General features: G+C 38.7%; 1 protein-coding gene and 1 pseudogene across 1 annotated transcript in view; both read right to left on the bottom strand.

The window, feature by feature from the left end:
• Positions 1,164 to 22,667, bottom strand: part of ZNF717 (zinc finger protein 717) — a 90,849-nt gene continuing 69,345 nt past the window's right edge. Inside the window, exons 7-8 of the transcript XR_007090409.1 lie at positions 17,650 to 17,779; positions 1,164 to 6,130 (exon numbers count right to left, since the gene is read on the bottom strand). The gene's annotated coding sequence lies outside the window, so the exon portion shown is untranslated. The remainder of the gene's footprint in view (positions 6,131 to 17,649; positions 17,780 to 22,667) is intronic.
• On the bottom strand, positions 19,475 to 19,777 carry RN7SL92P (RNA, 7SL, cytoplasmic 92, pseudogene; annotated as a pseudogene).

A 22,667-nucleotide genomic window follows, 5' to 3' on the forward strand; every position in this document is an offset into this window, starting at 1 on the left:
CTTCAATACCCATGGATAGATGAACATCTACAAGTATCAGGGCCATCCAGGAAAACATGACCTCACCAAACAAGTTAAATAAAGCACCAGGGACAAATCCTGGAAAAACAGAGGTATGTGACCTTTCATACAGGAAATCCAAAATAGCTGGTTGAGGTAATTCAAAGAAATGCAATATAACACAGAGAAGGAATTCAAAATTCTATCAGATAAATTTAACAATGAGATTGAAATAAAAAGAATAAAGCAGAAATTCTGAAGTTAAAATGATATTGTCATACTGAAGAATGGATCAGAATTACTTAAAAGAATTGATCAAGGAGAAGATAGATTTAGTGAACTTGAAGTCAGACTATTTAAAAATACAAAGTCAGAGGAGACAAAAAAGAATAAAAAATAAAGCATGCCTACAGAATCTAAAAAATAGCCTCAAAATAGCAAATCTAAGAGTTATTGGCCTTAAAGAGGAGGTAGAAAAAGAGATGAGTTGAACATTTATTTAAATAAATAATATTAAATAATATTAAACAATTCCTCAACATTTGAAATCAACACTCGAGTAACAGAAACTTACAAAACATAAAGCAGATTTAACCCAAAGAAGACCACCTCAAGGCACTTAACTGAACTCCCAAAGGTTAAGGATAAAGAAATGATTCTAAAAGCATCCAGAGAAGAGAAAAAAATAACATTCAGTGGAACTCCAATACATCTGACAGCAGACTTTTCAGGGGAAAATTTACAGGCTGGGAGACTGGCGTGACATATTAAAAAAGCTCAAGAAAAAAAAGACTTTTACTTTAGAATAATGTATCTGGCAAATACGTCCTTTAAACTTGACGGAGAAATAAGAACGTTTCCCGACAAACAAAAACTGAGGGATTTCATTAACACCAGACCTTTACTACAGGAAATGCCAAAGGGACTTCTAGACCTAAAAGAAAAAAAGTTAGTGAGCAATAAGAAATCATCTGAAGGTACAGAACGCACTAGCAATAGCACATGGAAAAACACTGAATATTATAACATGGTAATTATTGGGTGCAAAAATCTCAACTAGAAAGAGTAAACAATAAACCAATGAAAATAATAACTACAACATATTTCCAAGACATAGACAGTAAAATAGGGAATGAAGAGAAACAACAAAAAGGTTAAAAGAATGGCAATAAAGTATAGTTTTTATTAGTTGTTTTGCTTGTTTCTTTGTTGATGCAATCAGTGTTAAATTGTCCACAGTCTAAAATCATGTATTATATTGTTTTCAAGCCTCATGGTAATTTCAAATCAAAAAGTGTACCACAGACGTACAAAAAGTAAAAAGCAAGAAATTAGATTATAATACAAGAGAAATCACCTTCACTAAAAGGAAGACAGGAAGAAAGGAAAGAAGGGAGGACAAAAATCAATCAGAAAACAAATAACAAAATGGCAGGAGTAAGTGCTTATCAATAATAACACTGAATGTAAATGAACTAAATATTCCAGTCAAAAGAAAAATAGTGGATGAACGGATAGAGAAGCAGGACAATAATCTGTGACCTACAAAAAACATACTTTACCTATAAAGATATATTTAGACTGAAAATAAAAGGATGGAAAAAGGTATTACATGCCAACAGAAACCAAAAAAGAGCAGAAATAGCTATACTTATACCAGACAAACATAGATTTCAACAAAAGACTGTAGGAAGAGATTAAAAAGGTCATTATATAATAATAAAGAGATCAATTCAAGAGGATATAATAATTGAACATATATATGCACCCAACACTAAAGCACCTAGATAAATAAACCAAATATTATAAGAACTAAAGAAAGAGACCTCAATACAATAATGGCTGGACACTTCAACACCCTACTTTAGTCATTGGATAGACCTTCCAAATAGAAAATCAACAAAGAAACATCAGACTTAATCTGCACTACAGAACAAATGAACCTACTAGATATTTACAGAAAATTTCATCCAACAGCTGCAGAATATACATTTTTCTCCTCAGCACATGGGTTATTCTCAAGGATAGACCATATGTTAAGTAACAAGTCTAAAGACATTCCAAAAAATTGAAGTAATATTGAGCATTTTCTCTGACTACAGGGAATGAAATTATAAATCAATTAAAAAAGGAATTTCAGAAACTATACAAACACAAGGATATTAAACAATATGCTCCTGAATGATTAGTAGGTCGATAAAAAAGTTAAGAAGAAAATAGAAAAATTTCTTGAAACAAATGATAATGGAAACAGCATAGCAAAACCTATGGAATATAGTAAAAGAGGTACTATTATAAAAGGAAAATTTATAACTGTAAGTGCCAACATAAAAAACAGAAAAGCTTCAAATAAATAACCTAACAATACATCTTAATTAATTAGAAGAAAAAGGCCAAGCCAAATCCAAAATTAGAAGAAATAATAAAGATTAGAGCGGAAGTAAATAAAGTTAAAATGAAGAAAACAATGCAAAAGACTAATAAACAAAAAGTTGATTTTTTGAAAAGTAAAACAATTGACCAATATTTAGACAGGCTAACTGAAAAACAGAGAAGATACAAATTAGTAAAATCAGAGGTGAAAAAGGAGACATTACAAGAAATGCTTCAGAAAATCAAAGGATCATTAGTGGTTACTATCAGCAATTGTGTGCCAACAAATTAGAAAACCTACAGGAAATTAATTCTTAGACAAACACAACTTACCAAGATTGAACTAGGAAAAAATCTAAAACCTGAACAGACCAATAACAATTAACAAAATTAAAGCCTTAATTAAAAAAGTCTGTAGGACCAGACTGAAAAATAGAAAAGGAAAGAACATTTCCAAACTCATTCTTTGAGGCTAGTATTACCCTGATATCAAAACCAGACAGAGACACATTAAAAAAGCAAACTACAGGCCCATATCTGAGAATATTGATGCAAAAATTTGCAAAAAACCTAGCAAACTGAATTAAACAACACACAAACAGGTAATTCATAATGACCAAGTGGGATTTATCCCAGGGATGCAAGGATGGTTCAACATGCAAATCAATCAATGTGATACATCACATAAACAGAATGAAGGGACCAGGCACAATGGCTCACGCCTGTAATTCCAGCACTTTGGGAAGCCGAGGTGGGCAGATCATCTGAGTTCAGGAGTTCTAAACCAGTATGGCCAACATGGCAAAGCCCTGTCTCTACTAAAAATACAAAAATTAACCAGTCACGGTGGTGGGTGCCTGTAATCCCAGCTACTCGGGAGGCTGAAGGAGGAGAATCACTTGAACCCAGGAGACAGAGGTTGCAGTGAGCTGAGATCACACCATTGCACTCCAACCTGGGTGACAGAGGGAGACTTCATCTCAAAAAAAAAAAAAAAAAAAAAAAAACAAGGACAAAATCCATATAATCATTTCAATTATACTAAAAAAATTTGATAAAATTTAATATTCTTTAATAATAAAAAACCCTTTGAAAACTGGGTATGGAATGAACATACCTCAACATAATAAAAGTCATATATGACAGACCAACAGCTAGTATCATACTAAGTGGGGAAAAACTAAAATCCTTTCCTCTAAAATCTGGAAGATGACAAGAATGTCCACTTTTACCACTGTTATTCAACATAATTCTGAAAGTCCTATCTGGAGCAATCAGACAAGAGAAAGCAATAAAAGGCATCCCAATTGGAAAAGAAGTCAAATTATCTTTTTTTTTTTACCAATGATATAATCTTATATTGGCAAAAACATAAAGACTCCTCTGATAAGGTTTGAATATGTGTCCCCTCCCAAATCTCATATTTAAATGTAATTCTCAATGTTGGAGGTGGGCCTGGTGAAAGGTGATTTAATCATCGGGGTGGATTACTCATAAATGGCTTAGCACCATCCCATTTGGTACTATCCTCATAATAGTAAGTGAGTTCCTATAAGATCTGGTTATTTAAAAGTGTGTAACAACTTGCACCTCTGTTTTTCACTCCTGCTTTTTGCTGTGTGATGTGCAAGATTCTGCTTCAACTTCTGCCATGACTGTAAACTTCCACAGGCCACCCCAGAAGCATATGCCAGTGCTATGTCTTCTCTACAGCCTGTAGAACCAGGAGCCACTTAAACCTCCTTTTTTAAAAATAAATTATCCAGTCCCACTCTTATAGTGATGCAAAAATAGCTTAATACATAAAATTGGCACCAAGGAGTGGAAAATTGTTATAAGAATACCTGAAAATGTGGAATCAGCTTTGTAATTGGGTAAATAGGCAGAGGTTGGAAGAGTTTGTAGGATTCAGAAGAAGACAGAAAAATGAGAGAAAGTTGAGATTTTCTTAGAGACTGGTTGAATGGCTGTGACCAAAATGCTGATAGTGATCTGGACAGTGAAGGCTGGGCTGAGGAGGTCTCAGATGAAAATTAGAAACTAATTAGGACCAAAACAAAGGTCACGCATGTTGTCTTAGCAAAGTGGTTGGCTGAATTTCTGTCATGCCCTAGGGATATATAAGAGTTTGAATTTGAAATTGATGATTTAGGGTTTCTGTTGGAAAAATGTCTAAACAGCAAAGCATTTGAGATGTGGCCTGGCTGCTTCTAACAACCTATGCTCACATGTTCTAGCAAAAAAAAAAAAAAAAGGTTGTAACTTAAGCTTACAAGGGAAGCATAGTGTAAAAGCTTGAAAACTTTGCAGCCTAGTCATGTGGCTGAAAAATAAAAAGCTTTTATAAGAGAGGAACTCAAGCAGGCTATGGAGCAACTACTTGTTAGAGATATTTGTATAACCTAAAAAAAAAAGCAAGTGTTGATAGCCAAGACAATGGGAAAGAGGAATTGAAGGCACTTTAGAAATCTAAAAGGCAGTCCCCCATCATAGGCCCTGAGGCCTAAAAGAAGAGAATAGTTTCTGGGATCAGGCCCAGGACATGCTGCCTTGGGTAGATTTGGAACATGGCTCCCTGCATCCTGGCCACTGCTTCAGCTCCAGGTGTAGGTCAAATTGACTCAGTTACAACTCCAGTCACTGCTTCAGGGGGTGCAAGCCATAGCCTTGGTAGCTTCCATGTGGTGTTAGGCCTGTGGGTGTACAAAATGCAAGAGTTGAGACTTGGGAGTCTCCACCTTTATTTCAAAGGATGTACGAAAAAGCCAGGGTGTGCAGGCAGAAGCATTCTGCAGGGGTGGAGCCCTCATGGAGAACCTCTACTAAAACAATGGAGAAAAGAAATGTGGGGTGACAGTCCCTAGGCAGGCTCCCCACTGGGGCATGGCCTAGGAGATCTGCGAGGAGAAGATCACTGTCCTCCAGACCCCATAATGGTAGATCTAGCTACAGCTTGCACCCTGCACCTGGAAAAGCCAGAGGCACACAATACCAGCCAGAGGTACACAATGCCAGCCCATGAGAGCAGCTGTGGGGGCTGAACCATGCAAAGGCACAAGGTAGAACCTTCCCAAGGCATTAGTGTGCCCTGAAAATGGGACACAGAGTGAAAAATAATTATTTTGGAGCCTTACAATTCAGTAACTGCCATTCTGGGTTTCAGACTTTCATGGGTCCTGTGGTCCATTTCTTTTGGCTGATTTCTTCCTTTTAGAATAGGATTATTTACCCAATGCCACTGCCCCATTTGTATCTTGGAAGTGCCTAACTTGTTTTCTATTTTACAGGCTTATAGGAGGAAGGAACTAGCTTTGTCTTAGATGAGACTTTTGACTTTTCAGTTAAGGCTGAAATGAGTTAAGACTTTGGGGATTATTGGAAAGTCATGATTGTATTTTGAAATATGAGAAGGATATGAGATTTGCAATGGCCAGGGGCAAAATGATATAGTTTGGGTGTGTGTTCCCACAAAAATCTTATATTGAAATGTAATCCTCAATGTTGGAAGTGGGCCTAGTGGGGAGGTGATTGAATCATGACAGCAGGATTTCCAAGAACAGTTTGGCATCATTTCCTTTGGTGCCATTCCCACAATAGTTAGCTTTCATGAGAGTTGGTTATCTACAAGTGTGTGTAGCACCTCCCCCCTGCCCTCACACTTACCATGTGATGTGCAAGCACCAGATTTATTTTTCACCTTGTCAGTTGTCAGAGGCTTCCCCAGAAGCAGAAGCCAGTGCTATGCTTTCTGTATACCCTGTAGAACCATGAGCCAATTAAACCTATTTTCTTTATAAATTAACCAGTCACTGATTATTTTTTATAGCAATGTGAGAATGGCCTAATACATCCACCAAAAAACTATTAGAAGTAATAACTTGAGTAAATTTGCAGAATACAAAATCAACATATACAAATCAGTAGGATTTCTATATGCCAAGAGTCAACAAACTGAAAAAGAATTCAAAAATGTAATACTATTTGCAGTAGCCACAAATGAATCAAAATGTGTGGGAATTTACCAAAGAAATAAAAGTTCTCAACAATTGAAACTGTGAAACACTGACAAAAGAAATGAAAGAGGACCCAAAAATTGGAAAGATATTTTTATGTTCACAGATTGGAAGAATCAGTATTTTTTAAAATGTCCATACAATCCAAAGCAATCTATACATTTCATGCCATCTCTATCAAAATAACAGGCCAGGGGCAGTGGCTCATGCCTGTAATCCCAGCACTTTGGGAGGCCGAGATGGGTGAATTATGAGGTCAGGAGTTCAAGACCAGCCTGGCCAACTTGGTGAAACCCCATCTCTACTAAAAATACAAAAAAATTAGCCGGGTGTGGTGGCGGGTGCCTGTAATCCCAGCTACTCAGGAGGCTGAGGCAGAGAATTGCTTGAACCCAGGAGGCAGAGGTTGCAGTGAGCCAAGATCACATCACTGCACTCCAGTCTAGGTGACAGAGTGAGACACCATCGAAAAAAAAAAAAAAGACATTCCTCACAGAAATAGAAAAAAAAATTCTGAACTGTATATGGAACCATCGCAAAACACCGTAATAGTCAAAGCTATGCTGAGTATATAAAACAAAACTGGAGGAATTCCATTACCTGGTTTTAAATTATACCACTAAGTTATGGTAATTAAAACAGCATGACACTAGCATAAAAACAGACATAAAGACAGATGGAATGAAATAGAGACCTTAGAAACAAACTCATACAGCTAAACTGAACTTACTTTCAACAAAAGTGCCAAGAACATACAATAAAAAATAAGACAGGTTTTGTAATCAATAGGGCTGGGAAAACTGGCAAGCCATAGGCAGAAGAATAAAACGAGAATCCTATTTCTTGCCACATACAAAAATCAAATTAAAATGAAATAAAGACTTAAACATAACATCTCAAACTATCAAATTTTTACAAGAAAACATTGGAGAAACTCTTTAGGGCATTGGTTTGGGCAAAAATTTCTTAAATAATGCCCCATAAGCACAGACAACCAAAACAAACATGGACAAATGGGATTAAAGCAAGTCAGAAAGCCTTTTTAAGGTGAAGGAAACAATAAACAAAGTGAAGAGAAAATCCACAGAATGGGAGAAAATATTTGTAAATTATCCATCTGAAAAGCAATTAATAGCTACCTGATATGATTAGGCTTTGTGTCCCCACCCAAATCTCATATTGAATTGTAATCCCCAGATGTTGAGGGAGAGACCTGGTAGAAGGTGATTGGATCATGGGGGTGGTTACCCCCATGCTGTTCTTCTGATAATGAGTCAGTTCTCATGAGATCTGATGGTTTTATAAGGGACTCTTCCCCCTTTGCTTCACATACATGCTCTCGTCTGGTGTCATATAAGAGGTGCCTGCTTCCCCATCTGCCATGATTGTGAGTTTCCTGAGGCCTCCCCAGCCATTTGGAACTGTGAGTTAATTAAACCCATTTCCTTTATAAATTATTCAGTCTTGCCAGGTGTGGTGGCTCACGCCTGTAATCTCACCATTTTGGGAAGCCGAGGCTGCTGGATCACTAGGTCAGGAGTTCAAGACCAGCCTGGCCAAGATGGTGAAACCCCGTCTCTACTAAAAATACAAAAATTAGCCAGGCATGGGGGCAAAATTTAGCTGGGTGTGCGGGCAGGTGCCTGTAATCCCAGCTACTCAGGAGGCTGAGGCAGAGAATTGCTTGAACCAGGAGGCGGAGGTTGCAGTGAGCAGAGATTGCGCCACTGCACTCCAGCCTGGGCAACAGATCAAGACTTCATCTCAATAAATAAATAGATAACCCAGTCTCGAGTATTTTTTTATAGCAGTGCAGAAACAGACTAATACACTACAATATATTGAGTTCAAAAACTTATATAGAAAATATATAATAATCTAATTAAAGAGTGGACAAAAAATTTAAATAGACATTTATGAAAAGAAGACATGCAAATGTCAAACAGGCAAATGAAAAGGTGCTCCACATTACTGATCATCATAGAAATGCAAATCAAACCCAAAATGAGATATCATTTCACCCCAGTTAAGGTTGTTTTTATACAGAAGTCAGTCAAAAACAAATGTTGGTGAGTATGTGGAGTGAAGGGAACCCTTGTACACTGTTGTTGGGAGCACAGTTAAGAACAGTTTGGATGTTCCTGATATAACTATAAATAGAACTACTATATGGTCTAGCAATCCCACTGCTCAGTATATGCCTAAAAGAAATAAAATTGGTAAATCAAAGACATATTGGCACTCTCATGTTTGCTTCAGCAGGGTTTATAATAGCCAAGATTTGGAAGGAACCTAAATGTCCATCAACAGATGACTGGATAGAGAAAATGTGGTACATATACACAATGGAATACTATTCAGCTATAAGAAAGAATGAGAGTATACCATTTGCAATAACATAAATGGAACTGTAAGTCTTTATGTTAAGTGAAATAAGTCAGGCACAGAAAGACAAATGTGACACGTTCTCACTTATTTGTGGGTGCTAACATTCAAAACAATAGGTGTCATAGAGATGGAGAGTATAAGGATGGTTGCCAGAGGCTGGGAAGGGCAGTGACGGAACAGGGGGATAGTGGGGGTGCTAAATGGGTTAAAACAATTGTTAGAAAGAACGAATAAGACAGTATTTGATAGCACAACAGGGTGATTATAGTAAAACATAATTTATACATTAAAAAAACTAAAAGAGTATAATTGGATTGTTTATAACACAAGCTATAAATGCTTGAGGGATGGATACACCATTTTTTATTATGTATTACTCATTGCATGCCTGTGTCAAAGTATGTCATGTACCCCCATAAATATATACACCAACTATGTACCCACAAAAATAAATTAAAGATTGAAATTAAAATTAAAAGCAAAGGGAGGAGAGTATAATGAGGCATGTGTGACCCATGGCTTGAACTAGCTTTTAAGGTTAACTTTGGAATGTCCTTATCCAAGAAGAGGGGTTCATTTAGTCAATAGGGGCTTAAAAATTTATTTTTAGTTTATAAGTGGAAAAAAGAAGGATTTTTAATCCTAAGCCATAGCTCTCAGTCAATCAATCCCTGCAGGGAACCCTGTTCTTTACTCTGGAGACAAACACTAGTTTTCTTTTCCACTGAATAACACATTTCAAAACGAGGGGAAACATCTTGAAACTAAGAGGTACAGCCTTATTAAATTTGATTTGGTTTCAATTGTAGTTAATTTAATCACATGCATTCTAGAGTTTGTCCTCAGTCTTCTCCTACTTTAAGCCCATGAATCTGTTGAATTTGCTCAGCTCCCTGCTCAACAGCAGGAAATCAGAATTATTTTAAAACCTCATTGTGGCTGGGAGCGGTGGCTGATGCCTGTAATCCCAGCAATTTGGGAGGCCAAGGTGGGCAGATCGCTTGTTTTCAGGGGTTTGAGACCACCCAGCCAATGGAGTGAGACCCAATCTCTACTAAAGATACAAAAATGAGCTGAGTGTCATGATGCATGCCTGTAATCGCAGCTACTTGGGAGGCTGAGGCAGGAGAATTGCTTGAATCTGGGAGATGGAGGTTTCAGTGAGCCAGGATGGTGCACTGCACTCCAGCCTGGGCAACAGAGCAAGACTCTGTCTCAAAATAATAATAATAATAAATAAATAAATAAAAATAAAAATCTCATTGTGTTTCAAACAAAATTTCTTTTGAATATCAACTGTATCAACTTCCATATTAACTATCATTTTGTTTATATCCAATCTTGAGAAATCTTTGAGGACTAATTTTACTGTTTTCTGCCATTTTGGTAAACATACCAAATTCCATCAAACAAAATGCACAAAGTTCCTAAGAAATACATTTTCTCCTTGAGGAGTAGACTTGCTGTGTTAGAGGGACTCATGGCTACCAACCTTCTAGTTTAACAAACATGACCAGAATACTCTATCTTAATATGAGTAGCTAGGTACTCACAAGGCATCTAGAAGGTTAATACTCATGGTCTGAAAATAGCCACATTTTTTAGCTGGCCACAAATTACAATTGCAGAATATCTGTGGCCATACAAGACATCTTCCACCAAGCCTGAAAAATGTATAAATGTCCTAGGAGTGTAGCATTTTTTGTAAGGATAATATTAATGAGCTAGCTTAGGACAGTGGGTTAATGGTCATTGTTAAAACCAATAGCCTTGACTTTAGTGAGTACATCTGCACCTTCCAAGTTTAATTATAACTCTTTCTCTTTATAGTTACTTATAAGTAGAGACACTAACAAAAGACAATGCACTCCTGCTCTTGTTTTCTGAGGATGTCCAACTCTGTAATGGAGTCATTTCTAATAAACTTGCTTCTTTCACTGTGCTCTCTGACTCACCTCAAATTTTTTCTGCATAAGATCTAAGAATCCTACTTTTTGGTCTGTATCAGGACCCTCTTTTCCAGCAACATCTTTCGGCAATATCATGAAGGGACGCCAAGACAAGACCCCCACTCCAAGGAAAACAATCCACACAGAATCAATCAGCTGGCAAGTGGGCCATCTTTTAGAGTCGTGAAGCCATTCAGGCGGGCAAGAACGATTATCCACTATTATTTAAGTGAGAGACCCTAGGGCATAATGTTAGGGTGAGAGACTCAGCCCCAAAAGTTAGAGGCCCAGGGGCATCATATTCAGATTAGAGGCCAAGCTCACAGGGTTAGAGGCCCTTGGGAATACTGAGAAGAATGGGTTTGGCTAAACAAGATGTTTGCCACTTTCTCTTTTTGGACTGTCCACCTTCCGCTCTCTGTCCCTCACCTGAGTGCTCTGCATCTTGTCACCTCTCTGCTCAGCGCCTCAGTTTTGTAGTAGCCTGGAGGCTGCCCCAGGAAAGAGGCCCCAAACAGTTTAGCTTTTACTTTCCTCAACTATCCTCTGACTTTTATCTGATTGCTTGTTTAATTTGCCACTGGTCCAAGTGACACTGAAAAAAGAGAGATGTCTTGGAACCTAGTATTTTTGTACCTTAATTATCAGAAAAGATCAGCAGTAACCTCTCCATCATTATGACTAGAAGTTGAAATGTGGTATTTAACAGCCCTACATGATAAGATCAGATATGCCTGTTTAGTGGCAGCATCTTTTATGACAACCCTCTGCAAACAATTAGCCTCAAGATGGAGAACATAATTTTTCTTAACAGTTTTCTCTCATTTCTTAACCATAAGGTCATCTTTGATGAGCTGGTATAGGGCAGCTGTACCCTACTTTCTAAACCCAGCATGTCACTTTTTTCCTGAAAGAGTTTTGTCAGTTTTGTCACAGCAGTGTGAAAATGGACTAATACATTACAATGTACAAGTTACAGCCTTCCCATTTCCCCGTTCGATCTGACTCCTATTTTGCAGCTTAATTTGTTTTACAGAAGAGAAACTAAGTGGGAGGAAATACATTATATACAGGCTTCTCTGATGCTTGGTCAGGATAAAAAATTAAAATGGGCTTCTATATGTTTGATGGAGGAAAAGACAAAATAGGGATGGCACATAATTGATTACCCTTTTAATGCAAGTGCCTCTTAATATCAGGCTTTTCTTGGCTGGGGCTGAACTCCCCCTGCCAGTTCAAGCACCCCATAAGAACCCAGTCAGACTCCTTCCAGTTCTGGTGAGGTGTGCAACGCGTTATTAATTTCTTCTAGTTTTCCAGGGTTATCTAGTGTTTGGTCATCCTCTTCTCCCTCCCCTTCAAGTCTTGTCTTACATATATACCCCACTCTCGAAACACCTGAGCTTCACTGGAACAACATGCAGTAGGGCCTCTTATCAGCTGGCAAAGTTGAATGTTTGCCCTCTCTGGGAAGTGACAGATGATAATAGGGACACTGTATAGGTATATGTACCCTTTTCTATGTCTGAATTAGCCATATGCAAGGAAAAACTAAAACAATTTTCAGAGGTTCTGGGAAAATTCATAGACAAATTTAAGAGGCTAACCTTGATGTATAATCTGACCAGGCAGGATTTGCATATATTTATGTTTACCTGCTGCATGGTAGAAAAGCAGTGCATTATGGGAGTGGCTAGAGTACATGCTAATAGGGTGGCAGCCTGCAACCAGGGACATGACACCTATCAAATAGGAGGCACACCAGTGCCTGACCAGGACCCAGAAGAGAACTAGAATCTAGAAAAGACAAATGAATTAGGAAGAAAATGGGATATAGAGAGAAAAAATTACAATCATTTGACTCCTTGAAGGAATAAAAAAAAAGTGTGATAAAGCTTTTTAATTTTTATAAAGTCTGGAAAATTACTCAGGGAAAAGATGAAAACCTAGCATTATTAAAACGGTGGATAATTTAGACTTTGAGGAAATACACTAACACTGACCCTGACCCCAAGAAGGGACAGGCATTGCTAGCAGTTTATTTTACAGCCCAGTCTGCTTCTGATATCTGCAGGAAGACACCAAAAGCAGCCTTAGGCTTCCAGACTCCCATGGATCAGATTTTAGACTTGGATTTTGCAGTTTTCCATCACAGGAATAGGGCAGAGATAACATAAAATAAAGCAAATCTCCCAAGAGGCCCAGCTTCTAGCTGCAGCCTTGTGCTCTCCACCACTTCAGAGGCAGCCCCTGGGCCCCAGGCCTCACAGAGGAGGTGAGAAGGTGAAAGTCCCACTCTGTGCCTCTGAGCCACTGTGCCTTGGATACAAATCAATGTGCCTTCTGTAAGAAGGTCAGCCACTGATGAAGGAAATGCACTGTGCTTCCAAGGGAGCCATCATCAGAGCCCAGCAGACTCAAAAGTGATAGGGTCTGATACTTCCTACCTCTGCTCCCATTGGACTATTAGCTATCGAGAGATGGAGGAGACTCAGGTGACTCTTGAAGTGGCAGATAGGAGTATTAACTTCATATTAGGTATGGGAGCAGATGACTCTGTCCTGATTCAATACAATGGGCTCCTGTCTTCTCATGATGGACAAGCCCCAAAACACTGCTTATCATATCTTCTAAGTTGTCCTCCAGGGCCTCTGGGCTTCTCACCTGCCTTTTTAGTACTGTCTGAATGCCTGACCTCTTACTGGGGAGAGGTTTATTGACTCAGAAGACCAAGTCATGGTCAACTTCACAGATCATAAAGCATAGAAAGTGTTACTTTTGTTCCTGACCCCTCAGGGGAAGTTAAGAATGAGCTGTCACATTTACTGCCTGAAGTGTTGTCTCAAGTAAATCTTGAGGTTTGGGCCACACAGGCTCTGGGAAACACACTAAACACCTTCCCCATTCAAATCCAACTTCAGCCTAGTGCTCCTCACCCTCAGAAAAGACAATACATATTAAGGCAAGAAGCATGAGGGGAAATTCAACCCCTTAGCACCAAATTCTTGCCATATGAGTTATTAAGGCCATAAGAGTCCCCTTACAATACTCCCATGTTACCAGATAAAAAGCCTAATGGCAAGTACAGATTTGTCAGAACCCTCAGAGCATTAAGAAATGCAGTTGTCTCCATACACCTCATTGTCCCCAATACTTACCGAGTCCCAGGGGATGCAAGCTAGTTTACATTCTTAAATCTGGGGTGGGGTGGAGCCAAGATGGCTGAATAGGATTGGCTCTGGTCTACAGCTCCCAGCATGAACGACGCAGAAGATGTGTGATTTCCGCATTTCCATTTGAGGTACCGGGTTCATCTCACTAGGGAGTGCCAGACAGTGGGTGCAGGACAGTGGGTGCAGTGCACGGTGCACAAGCCAAAGCAGAGTGAGGCATTGCCTCACTCAGGAAGCTCACGGGGTCAGGGAGTTCCCTTTCCTAGTCAAAGAAAGGGGTGACAGATGGCACCCGGAAAATCGGGTCACTCCCACCCTAATACTGCGCTTTTCCAATGGGCTTAAAAAATGGCACACCAGGAGATTATATCCCGCACATGGCTCAGAGGGTCCTACACCCACGGAGTCCCGCTGATTGCTAGCACAGCAGTCTGAGGTCAAACTGCAAGGCAGCAGCAAGGCTGGGGGAGGGGCGCCTGCCATTGCCCAGGCTTGATTAGGTAAACAAAGCAGCCGGGAAGCTCGAACTGGATGGAGCCCACCACAGCTCAAGGAGGCCTGCCTGCCTCTGTAGGCTCCACCTCTGGGGGCAGGGCACAGACAAACAAAAAGACAGCAGTAACCTCTGCAGACTCAAATGTACCTGTCTGACAGCTTTGAAGAGAGCAGTGGTTCTCCCAGCACGCAGCTGGAGATCTGAGAACGGGCAGACTGCCTCCTCAAGTGGGTCCCTGACCCCCGAGCAGCCTAACTGGGAGGCACCCCCCAGTAGGGGCAGACTGACACCTCACACGGCTGGGTACTCCTCTGAGACAAAACTTCCAGAGGAATGATCAGGCAGCAGCATTTGTGGTTCACCAAGATCCGCTGTTCTACAGCCACTGCTGTTCTGCAGCCACTGCTGCTGATACCCAGGCAAACAGGGTCTGGAGTGGACCTCTAGCAAACTCCAACAGACCTGCAGCTGAGAGTCCTGCCTGTTAGAAGGAAAACTAACAAACAGAAAGGACATCTACACCAAAAACCCATCTGTACGTCACCACCATCAAAGACCAAAAGTAGATAAAACCACAAAGATGGGGAAAAAACACAGCAGAAAAACTGGAAACTCTAAAAAGCAGAGTGCCTCTCCTCCTCCAAAGGAACGCATCTCCTCACCAGCAATGGAACAAAGCTGGACGGAGAATGACTTTGACGAGTTGAGAGAAGAAGGATCCAGACGATCAAACTACTCTGAGCTACAGGAGGAAATTCAAACCAATGGCAAAGAAGTTAAAAACTGTGAAAAAAAAATTAGACGAATGGATAACTAGAATAGCCAATACAGAGAAGAGCATTGCTGTAAAGAAATACCTGAGGCTGAGTTATTTATAAATGAAAGAGGTTTAATTGTCTCATGGTTCTACAGGCCTTGTAGGATGCATGGTTCTGGCATCTGCTTCTGGTGAGAGCCTCAGGAAACATTTATTCATGGCAGAATTTGACGTGGCAGCAGGCACATTACATGGTGAGAGCAGGGGCAACAGAGGGAGGGGAGAAGTGCCACATCTTTTCTTTTTTTTCTTTTTCTTTTCTTTTTTTTTTTTAGATGGATTCTCACTCTGTCACCAAGGCTGGAGTGCAGTGGTGTGATCTCGGCTCACTGCAACCTCTGCCTCCTGGGATCAAGCGATTCCTGTTTCAGCCTCCTGAGTAGCTGGAATTACAGGCTCATGCCACCAAACCCAGCTATTTTTTTGTATTTTTAGTAGAGATGTGGTTTCACCATGTTGGCCAGGCTGGTCTCAAACTCCTGATCTCTAGTATTCTGCCCAACTCAGCCTCCCCAAGTGCTGGGGTTATAGGTGTGAGCCACTGCACCCAGCCTCCACACACTTTTAAACAACCAGAACTCACATGAACTCTGGGTGAGAACTTATCACCAAGGGGATGGTGCTAAACCATTCATGAAGGACCTGCACCCATGATCCAGTCATGTCCCCAGGCCCCACCTCCAACACTGGGGATTACATTTCAACATGAGATTTGGAGAGGGCAAACACCCAAATCACATGAAACACAAAGGTTTTCAAAGGAAACAATGAGGAAGGTTACATAATTGTTTTGAAATAATTATCCTTGGCTACAAAAATCAATAACAATCGTGATGCCAGTCCATGGTTGGAAGGCAGTAGTTACTGGGCAGATGTCCTTACAGAATTTTTTTTTTGTATAACGTTGTCACGGACTTTGTGCAAGGTTGTAATTTTTGTAGAATCTTTTTCATCATCAGGCATACACGCATGAGAATGCTCTCTTCATGGCCTTCCCCAGCTCGAGCTGTCAGAGTTTTCTTATTACTAGTGACTCCATTTTGATTCAGACAACTTTCACGTTTCCCTTTTGTGCTCCAGATCTTTTTCCAAAAGCATCACTGATCAATCATCTTTAAGTTTGGTTTTGATGGCCCTTGGTGCTAGGATGGACCTATTTTGGTTTTTGTTCTCATCCCACATTGAGGCAGGGGGTAATTGGCACCTAAGAGTCAGTGTCAAAATCCTTTTAGGCATATTTGGAGCAACAAGGGAAATTTGAAGGGAGTAGTTTTCAGGCTAAGTCTACCTGGAGTTCATTATTAAGTTCGATTTTGTCTGTTCTGTAGTCTTTTGCTATCATCTTAAAGTGCTGTACTGGTATTATTCTGTTAGGAGTTGTACTTTTGAAAAAAAACTTAAGTAATGGATACACAGTTTAAAAAGGGAAATTATGAAGTAAATAGTAATAGGACAATTCTAGTTTGCATAATGGCTTTGAGCCATTAACCTAGGCTTACAGACAACTAATTGAATAAATCAAATGATCACAAGGAATCAGGTGAGATGGTGTAACCACATGGCCTGTCTTCTTCTTTTGTGTCTATAAATTTCTAATTTCATAGAGAAATTTATCCAGGTACAGCATATAGTATTGACAATAACACAGTCATTTTCTCATTTAACCAAAGGATACTTATGAGCAGAAGCTATTGATTGTGAATTTTCATTCACATCATTATTCTGCCAAGTGAAAAATGTAGCATTAAGGAGGAGGAGGGGTAAAAATCTCATCACGTGGAGTCTTGTTCTAATGACCTGGGAAAATCTGTTCTAATGACCTGGGAAAATCGGCATGAAAACATTAACTTCTCCTGCTTTGTAGTTTGAATGTCTTTGGTCATGACATCAGTTGGTTTGGTGCACTCTTTCTGTGATCCATACATCAGGCACAAGTTTATTCTTTAAAATTTATCTAGTTTCAGCTCATAGGGCTTTAGTAACAGAGCAGCTTTTGCCTTTAGTTGGAGAGTTGTTGCCAAATTAGGAGAAATACATTAGGAAAATTCAGGATCTAGTATAATCTACATGTAGATAACAAGAACTTGAAAAGAATGCACACATTTACAATCTACTAACAGAGGCATTATAGTTTTTCTTTAGAAACAGAACTTTCTCTCTACATTAATTTACAGAAAGTTCAGGTTTAAAAACCTCTTGAGGCCAAAGCAAGGGAGGTTTTAGATTTTACTTACAATCTTAAAGTTTTTGGGCCTGCCAGGAAGTGACAATTTTTACTCATTCACTGTCAGGCTGGAAGCACTGGAAGCCAGGCATTTTATGCACATTCTTAAATATGATATTTCAGTCAAAGCCTTAATAATATAACCAAGGTTTTCAATGGTATTCTGTTTATGAAGAGAAACAGATATTTATTGAGTAAAAATAGAAGAATACTCACAAATGGTTTCCAAATTTTGGAGGAATCAAGTAGGGAGACAAAATGAATGCTTCCATCTTTGTTCAAAAAATTATACTTTACTGAATTTTTGTAAACTATAGGTAGCTTACGAGATAAAGTTTTCTTAAATCTGGAAAACAAAATATTTCAGAACCAATAATGTTTCAAATAAAAGTCATAAAAACATCATCTTCGTGAACCACTTAATTTCATGTAATTGTTTTGTTTTGTTTAATCTTGATTAACAGTTTTATAAATCCATCAGCTTATTTATTTGAGCTCTGGAGATTTTTATTTAGTCTACTGATCTTAAATTATCAAAAATTTTGCCAGGCACAGTGGCTCACATCTGCAGTCCCAGCACTTTGTGAGGCTGAGGCAGGTAGATCACTTCAACTTGGGAGTTTGAGATCAGCCTGGGCAATATGGAGAAATCCCATCTCTATAAAAAAAATACAAAAATTATCCAGGAGGCTGAGATTAGAGGATTGGGAGGTTGAGGATGCTGTGAGCCAAGACTGTACCACTGTATACCAGCTTGGGCAACAGAGTGAGACCCTGTCTCAAAAAATTTATTGGAATTCTGTGTTCAAGAGTATTTGTTATTTTCTATGAAAAGCAGTTTTGGACTACAGCAGATTGCAAACACTTTTGGAGAAATTTTCAAAACAACTGTGAATGACAAAAACTTGGAATAGCCATGGTTTAAAATCTGATCAAAGGTCCTAATTGACAATGAAACTTGGTTATTTTTATTTCATGCAACCAGAATCATGACTGACTACATCACATCAGGACAATCAGACTTTTATTAATTTCAAGTTATGTTGGAGTAAAACACTGTTTTTCTAGATTTTTCAGGACATATATTTCACCATCAGGACATAACAGCAGAGTTGGAACCACAGAAAAAAAGTTACAAGAGTTGACAAAAGGTTGAAGGAAAGTTATCACCTCAGCCAAGCACAATGTTATGCCTTTTTAGGCAAGAAAAAAGGGGAGCTGAATCTCCATCCTCAAACTAGGCAAATTAAATAGATCTCAGAAAGATATTTGACAGAAATGGAAATTGTCTGTAGTTTAGAAGATGGCTGTTAAGGGAACAGATTTCAGAATTAAAACTCAAAACCTCTTGCAACTTTATGAAAACTAAATCAATACTTTAAGAAAACCTTGTTGTTCTAACATAGGGGACCACAGTTTTTCAGGTTTGTATTAGTGTATTTTTAATGCCAAAGCTTAATCCTTAGAAAGACTTTTCTAATTTTATTTAGAAAACTAATAAATTAATTTTCAGAAGAATTTAATTTTCTTCTGATTGTAACCAACTTGGTCACATGCAAAACATCTTGCATAAATTCCCTTTCACAAATGAGTTACTCAGACCATTGGTGACATTCTTGGGCTTTCCACTTTGTCCTGTACTTTCCCTCTTAAATAACTAGACATTTTAGTTTAGGATGAAAATTTACCACACAAGATTCTTTGTCATGTGAAATATTTCTTTTCTTTTCAACCTTCTCCTATCTCCATCTCCCTATCAATAACTTTCTTCACATCTCTCTCTTCTACTTACTGGTTCTTCTTTAACATTTCACTGTTTTTTTGCTGAATCAATATTTTGAAACAACCTTTAAATAACCTCCAAATTATATAAAATTATTACTTCTTTCTCAATAAAGAGCATATTTGTATGCATTTCTTATACATTTTTTCTTATTAAAAATTCATCCTACTTTTTAAGGCACACTTTTATATAGAATTATATATATTAGTTAGGCTAGGCATGGTGGCTCACACCTGTAATCCCAGCACTTTGGGAGGCTGAGGCAGGAGGATTGCTGGAGCCCAAGAGTTCGAGGTTGCAGTGAGCTATGACCATGCCACTGCATTCCAGCCTGGGTAACAGAGTGGGATCCTGTTCCCCCACCCCACAAAAAGAATTATCCATATTAATTAAAATTTTATTATTTTATTTTATTTGAGACAAGTCTCAATCTGCCACCCTTGCTGGAGTGCAGTGGCACAATCACAGTTCACTGCAGCCTCAACCTCCTGGGCTCAAGCAATCCTCCCACCTCAGCCTCCCCAGTAGCTGGGACTACAGGCATGTGTCACCATGCCTGGCTAACTTCTGTATTTTTTGTAGAGATGGGGTTTTACCATGTTGCCCAGAGTGGTCTCAAACTCCTGGGCTCAAGCGATCCACCCACATCGGCCTCACGAAGTGCTGGGATCACAGGCATGAGCCACTGTACCTGGCCTATATTAATTAGAATTTTAAACTTGTAGTAACCTTAAATTATAGTGAAAACTTAGGAAGCAGGAAATCTGTCACATATCAGTATTATCAGTATTTTATGGGTGAGAACAATTTTATAGCAATATAGAAAGTCATATGGGTATAAAAATCCATATAACATATCCACATAAATATAACTCTAGGCAAAAGTTAACATAGAAAACAAAATTATGACTAATAATGTAGGGACCAGCCCCACAGGGTCTGTGGGTTTTTCTCCCCATGTGTGGAGATGAGAGATCATAGAAATAAAGGCACAAGACAAAGAGAAAGAAGAAAAGACAGCTGGGCCCAGGGGACCACTACCACCTAGACACAGAGACAAGTAGTGGCCCCAAAGGCCAGGCTGCGCTTTTATTGGATACAAGACAAGGGGGCAGGGTAAGGAGTGTGAGCCATCTCCAATGATAGGTAAGGTCACATGGGTCATGTGTCCACTGGATGGGGGCCCTTCCCTGTTTGGCAGCTGAGGTGGGGAGAGAGAGAGACAGAGAGGAGACAGCTTATGCCATTATTTCTGCATATCAGAGACTTTTAGTACTTTCACTAATTTTGCTACTGCTAACTAAAAGGTGAGCCAGGCATACAGGATGGAACATGAAAGCGGACTAGGAGCATGACCACTGAAGCACAGTATCACAGGGAGATGGTCAGGCCTCCGGATAACTGCGGTGGGCCTGACATCAGTCAGGCCCTCCACAAGAGGTGGCAGAGCAGAGTCTTCTCTAAACTCCCCCAGGGAAAGGGAGACTCCCTTTCCTGGTCTGCTAAGTAGTGGGTGCTTTTCCTTGGCACTGACACTACTGCTAGACCACGGTCCGCTTAGGTCACGGGCATCTTCCCAGATGCTGGCGTTACTGCTAGACCAAGGAGCCCTTGTCTTCTGGTAACTTCTCACTATGTCCCCTCAGCTCCTATCTCTGTATGGTCTGGTTTTTCCTAGGTTATGATTACAGAGTGAGGATTATTATAATATTGGAATAAAGAGTAATTGCTACAAACTAATGATTAATGATATTCATTTATAATCATATGTATGATCTATATCTAGTATAGCTATTATTTTATATATTTTCTTTATTACACTGGAACAGCTCTTGCCCTCAGTCTCTTGCCTCGGCACCTGGGTGGCTTGCCGCCCACATAATAACAGATTTCTAGAAGAGACAAATATAAAACCATCTGACCAGTAAACCCAGGTAAAATGTACACTGGCCATTTTGAAGATATTTCTATTTTTATTTTACCACTAATTTTAGAACAGTTTATTTATCACAGATTTAATTAAGTCACATGAATTAAAAAGCATTTAGGTTAATTATTGTATATTTCATGAGGCCATTTATCTAAACAGACTTTCTTAAGGGATTTCTGAATCACTACACCAGATTTTACCATGTAGACAAAACATATAACAAAATACATGTGTATATGCACAAACACATCTGACCACATATACACACACAAATAACAGATCTTATGGTTCTTTTATTTTAGACTTTTAGTCATGAGATAGTAAAATAATCCACCAGTTTATAAAAGACAGTTGAACCCAAATTATATTTTTTGGCAAAATGTAAAACATGGCTAAAATTTATTTGCCACGATAGGTAATCTAATAAGTGCTGTGAACCACAGTTTGGGTAAAGCAGTTTCCATGGCAGTTTGACTTTTTAAGAAACTTTTTTCAGCTTAAGTTTCAAATGAGTTTAGGGTTATATTTTCAATGTTTACATTTAAGCTGGGACTCAATAAATTGTATAAGAAAAATAAAATCTCCATGTAACCTTGAATTAGTAGCAAATCTATTTTCTGTTTGCCAGTGTGATTTGCTTGACTAGCAAGTCTGGACAGGAAAGATTTTCAGCGGTTTTAAATTATTTATAATTTTTATTTTTTGCTTTTGCATGGCAGAAATAGCAAAATTTTTGTGCTAGACATACCTTAGATTATTGCTGTAAGGTCAAGATTTTGACCTGTTTGATCTGAGAGCCTAATTTCATAAATATTTTTCTAGTTATTTTTCTCTTATATTAACTTCTAATTAAGTATTCTGTCATTGTACACAATTGTAAGTCAGGTAAACCTAAATTTATATTTCTTATTTTTTCTTAACACACGGTATTTTAGAATTAAATTTATATTTCTAAAGATTATCTCACTTGATATCATGAAGCTGTTGTAATTTATAAAGCCATTAATTTGAAAACTCTTTAAGATTTGGGACACAGGCCAGAATTCCATAAACAGTGAATGGGCAGAAGAAGGACAGAGAGAGGTATACAGAGAACTTAGAAAACTCTACATGTTAACTCTATAATTGCAGGTTTTTCAAATAATGACTATTGGAGATCTGAATTTTCCTTGATGTAATTTTCCCAGCAAGTTAAAAATATGAGCCATAATATATAACCAGGTGGAGTCCCAGAAAACCTAGCATGCCTTAATGTTTGAGAATGCGATTCTGGTTTTTTTTGGTTTGTTTTTTTGTTTTTTTTTTTTAGATGGATTCTTGCTCTATCACCAGGCTCTCATGCAGTGGAACAATCTCGGCTCACTGCAACCTCCACTTCCCAGGTTCAAGTGATTCTCCTGCCTCAGCCTCCCAAGTAGCTGGGACTACAGGCACATGCCACCATGCCTGGCTAATTTTTTTTTTTTTTTTGTATTTTAATAGAGACGAGGTTTCACCATGTTGGCCAGGATGGTCTTGATC

This window comes from Homo sapiens, chromosome 3 (assembly GCF_000001405.40).
Source record: "Homo sapiens chromosome 3, GRCh38.p14 Primary Assembly".
Classification (NCBI taxonomy): Eukaryota; Metazoa; Chordata; class Mammalia; order Primates; family Hominidae; genus Homo; species Homo sapiens.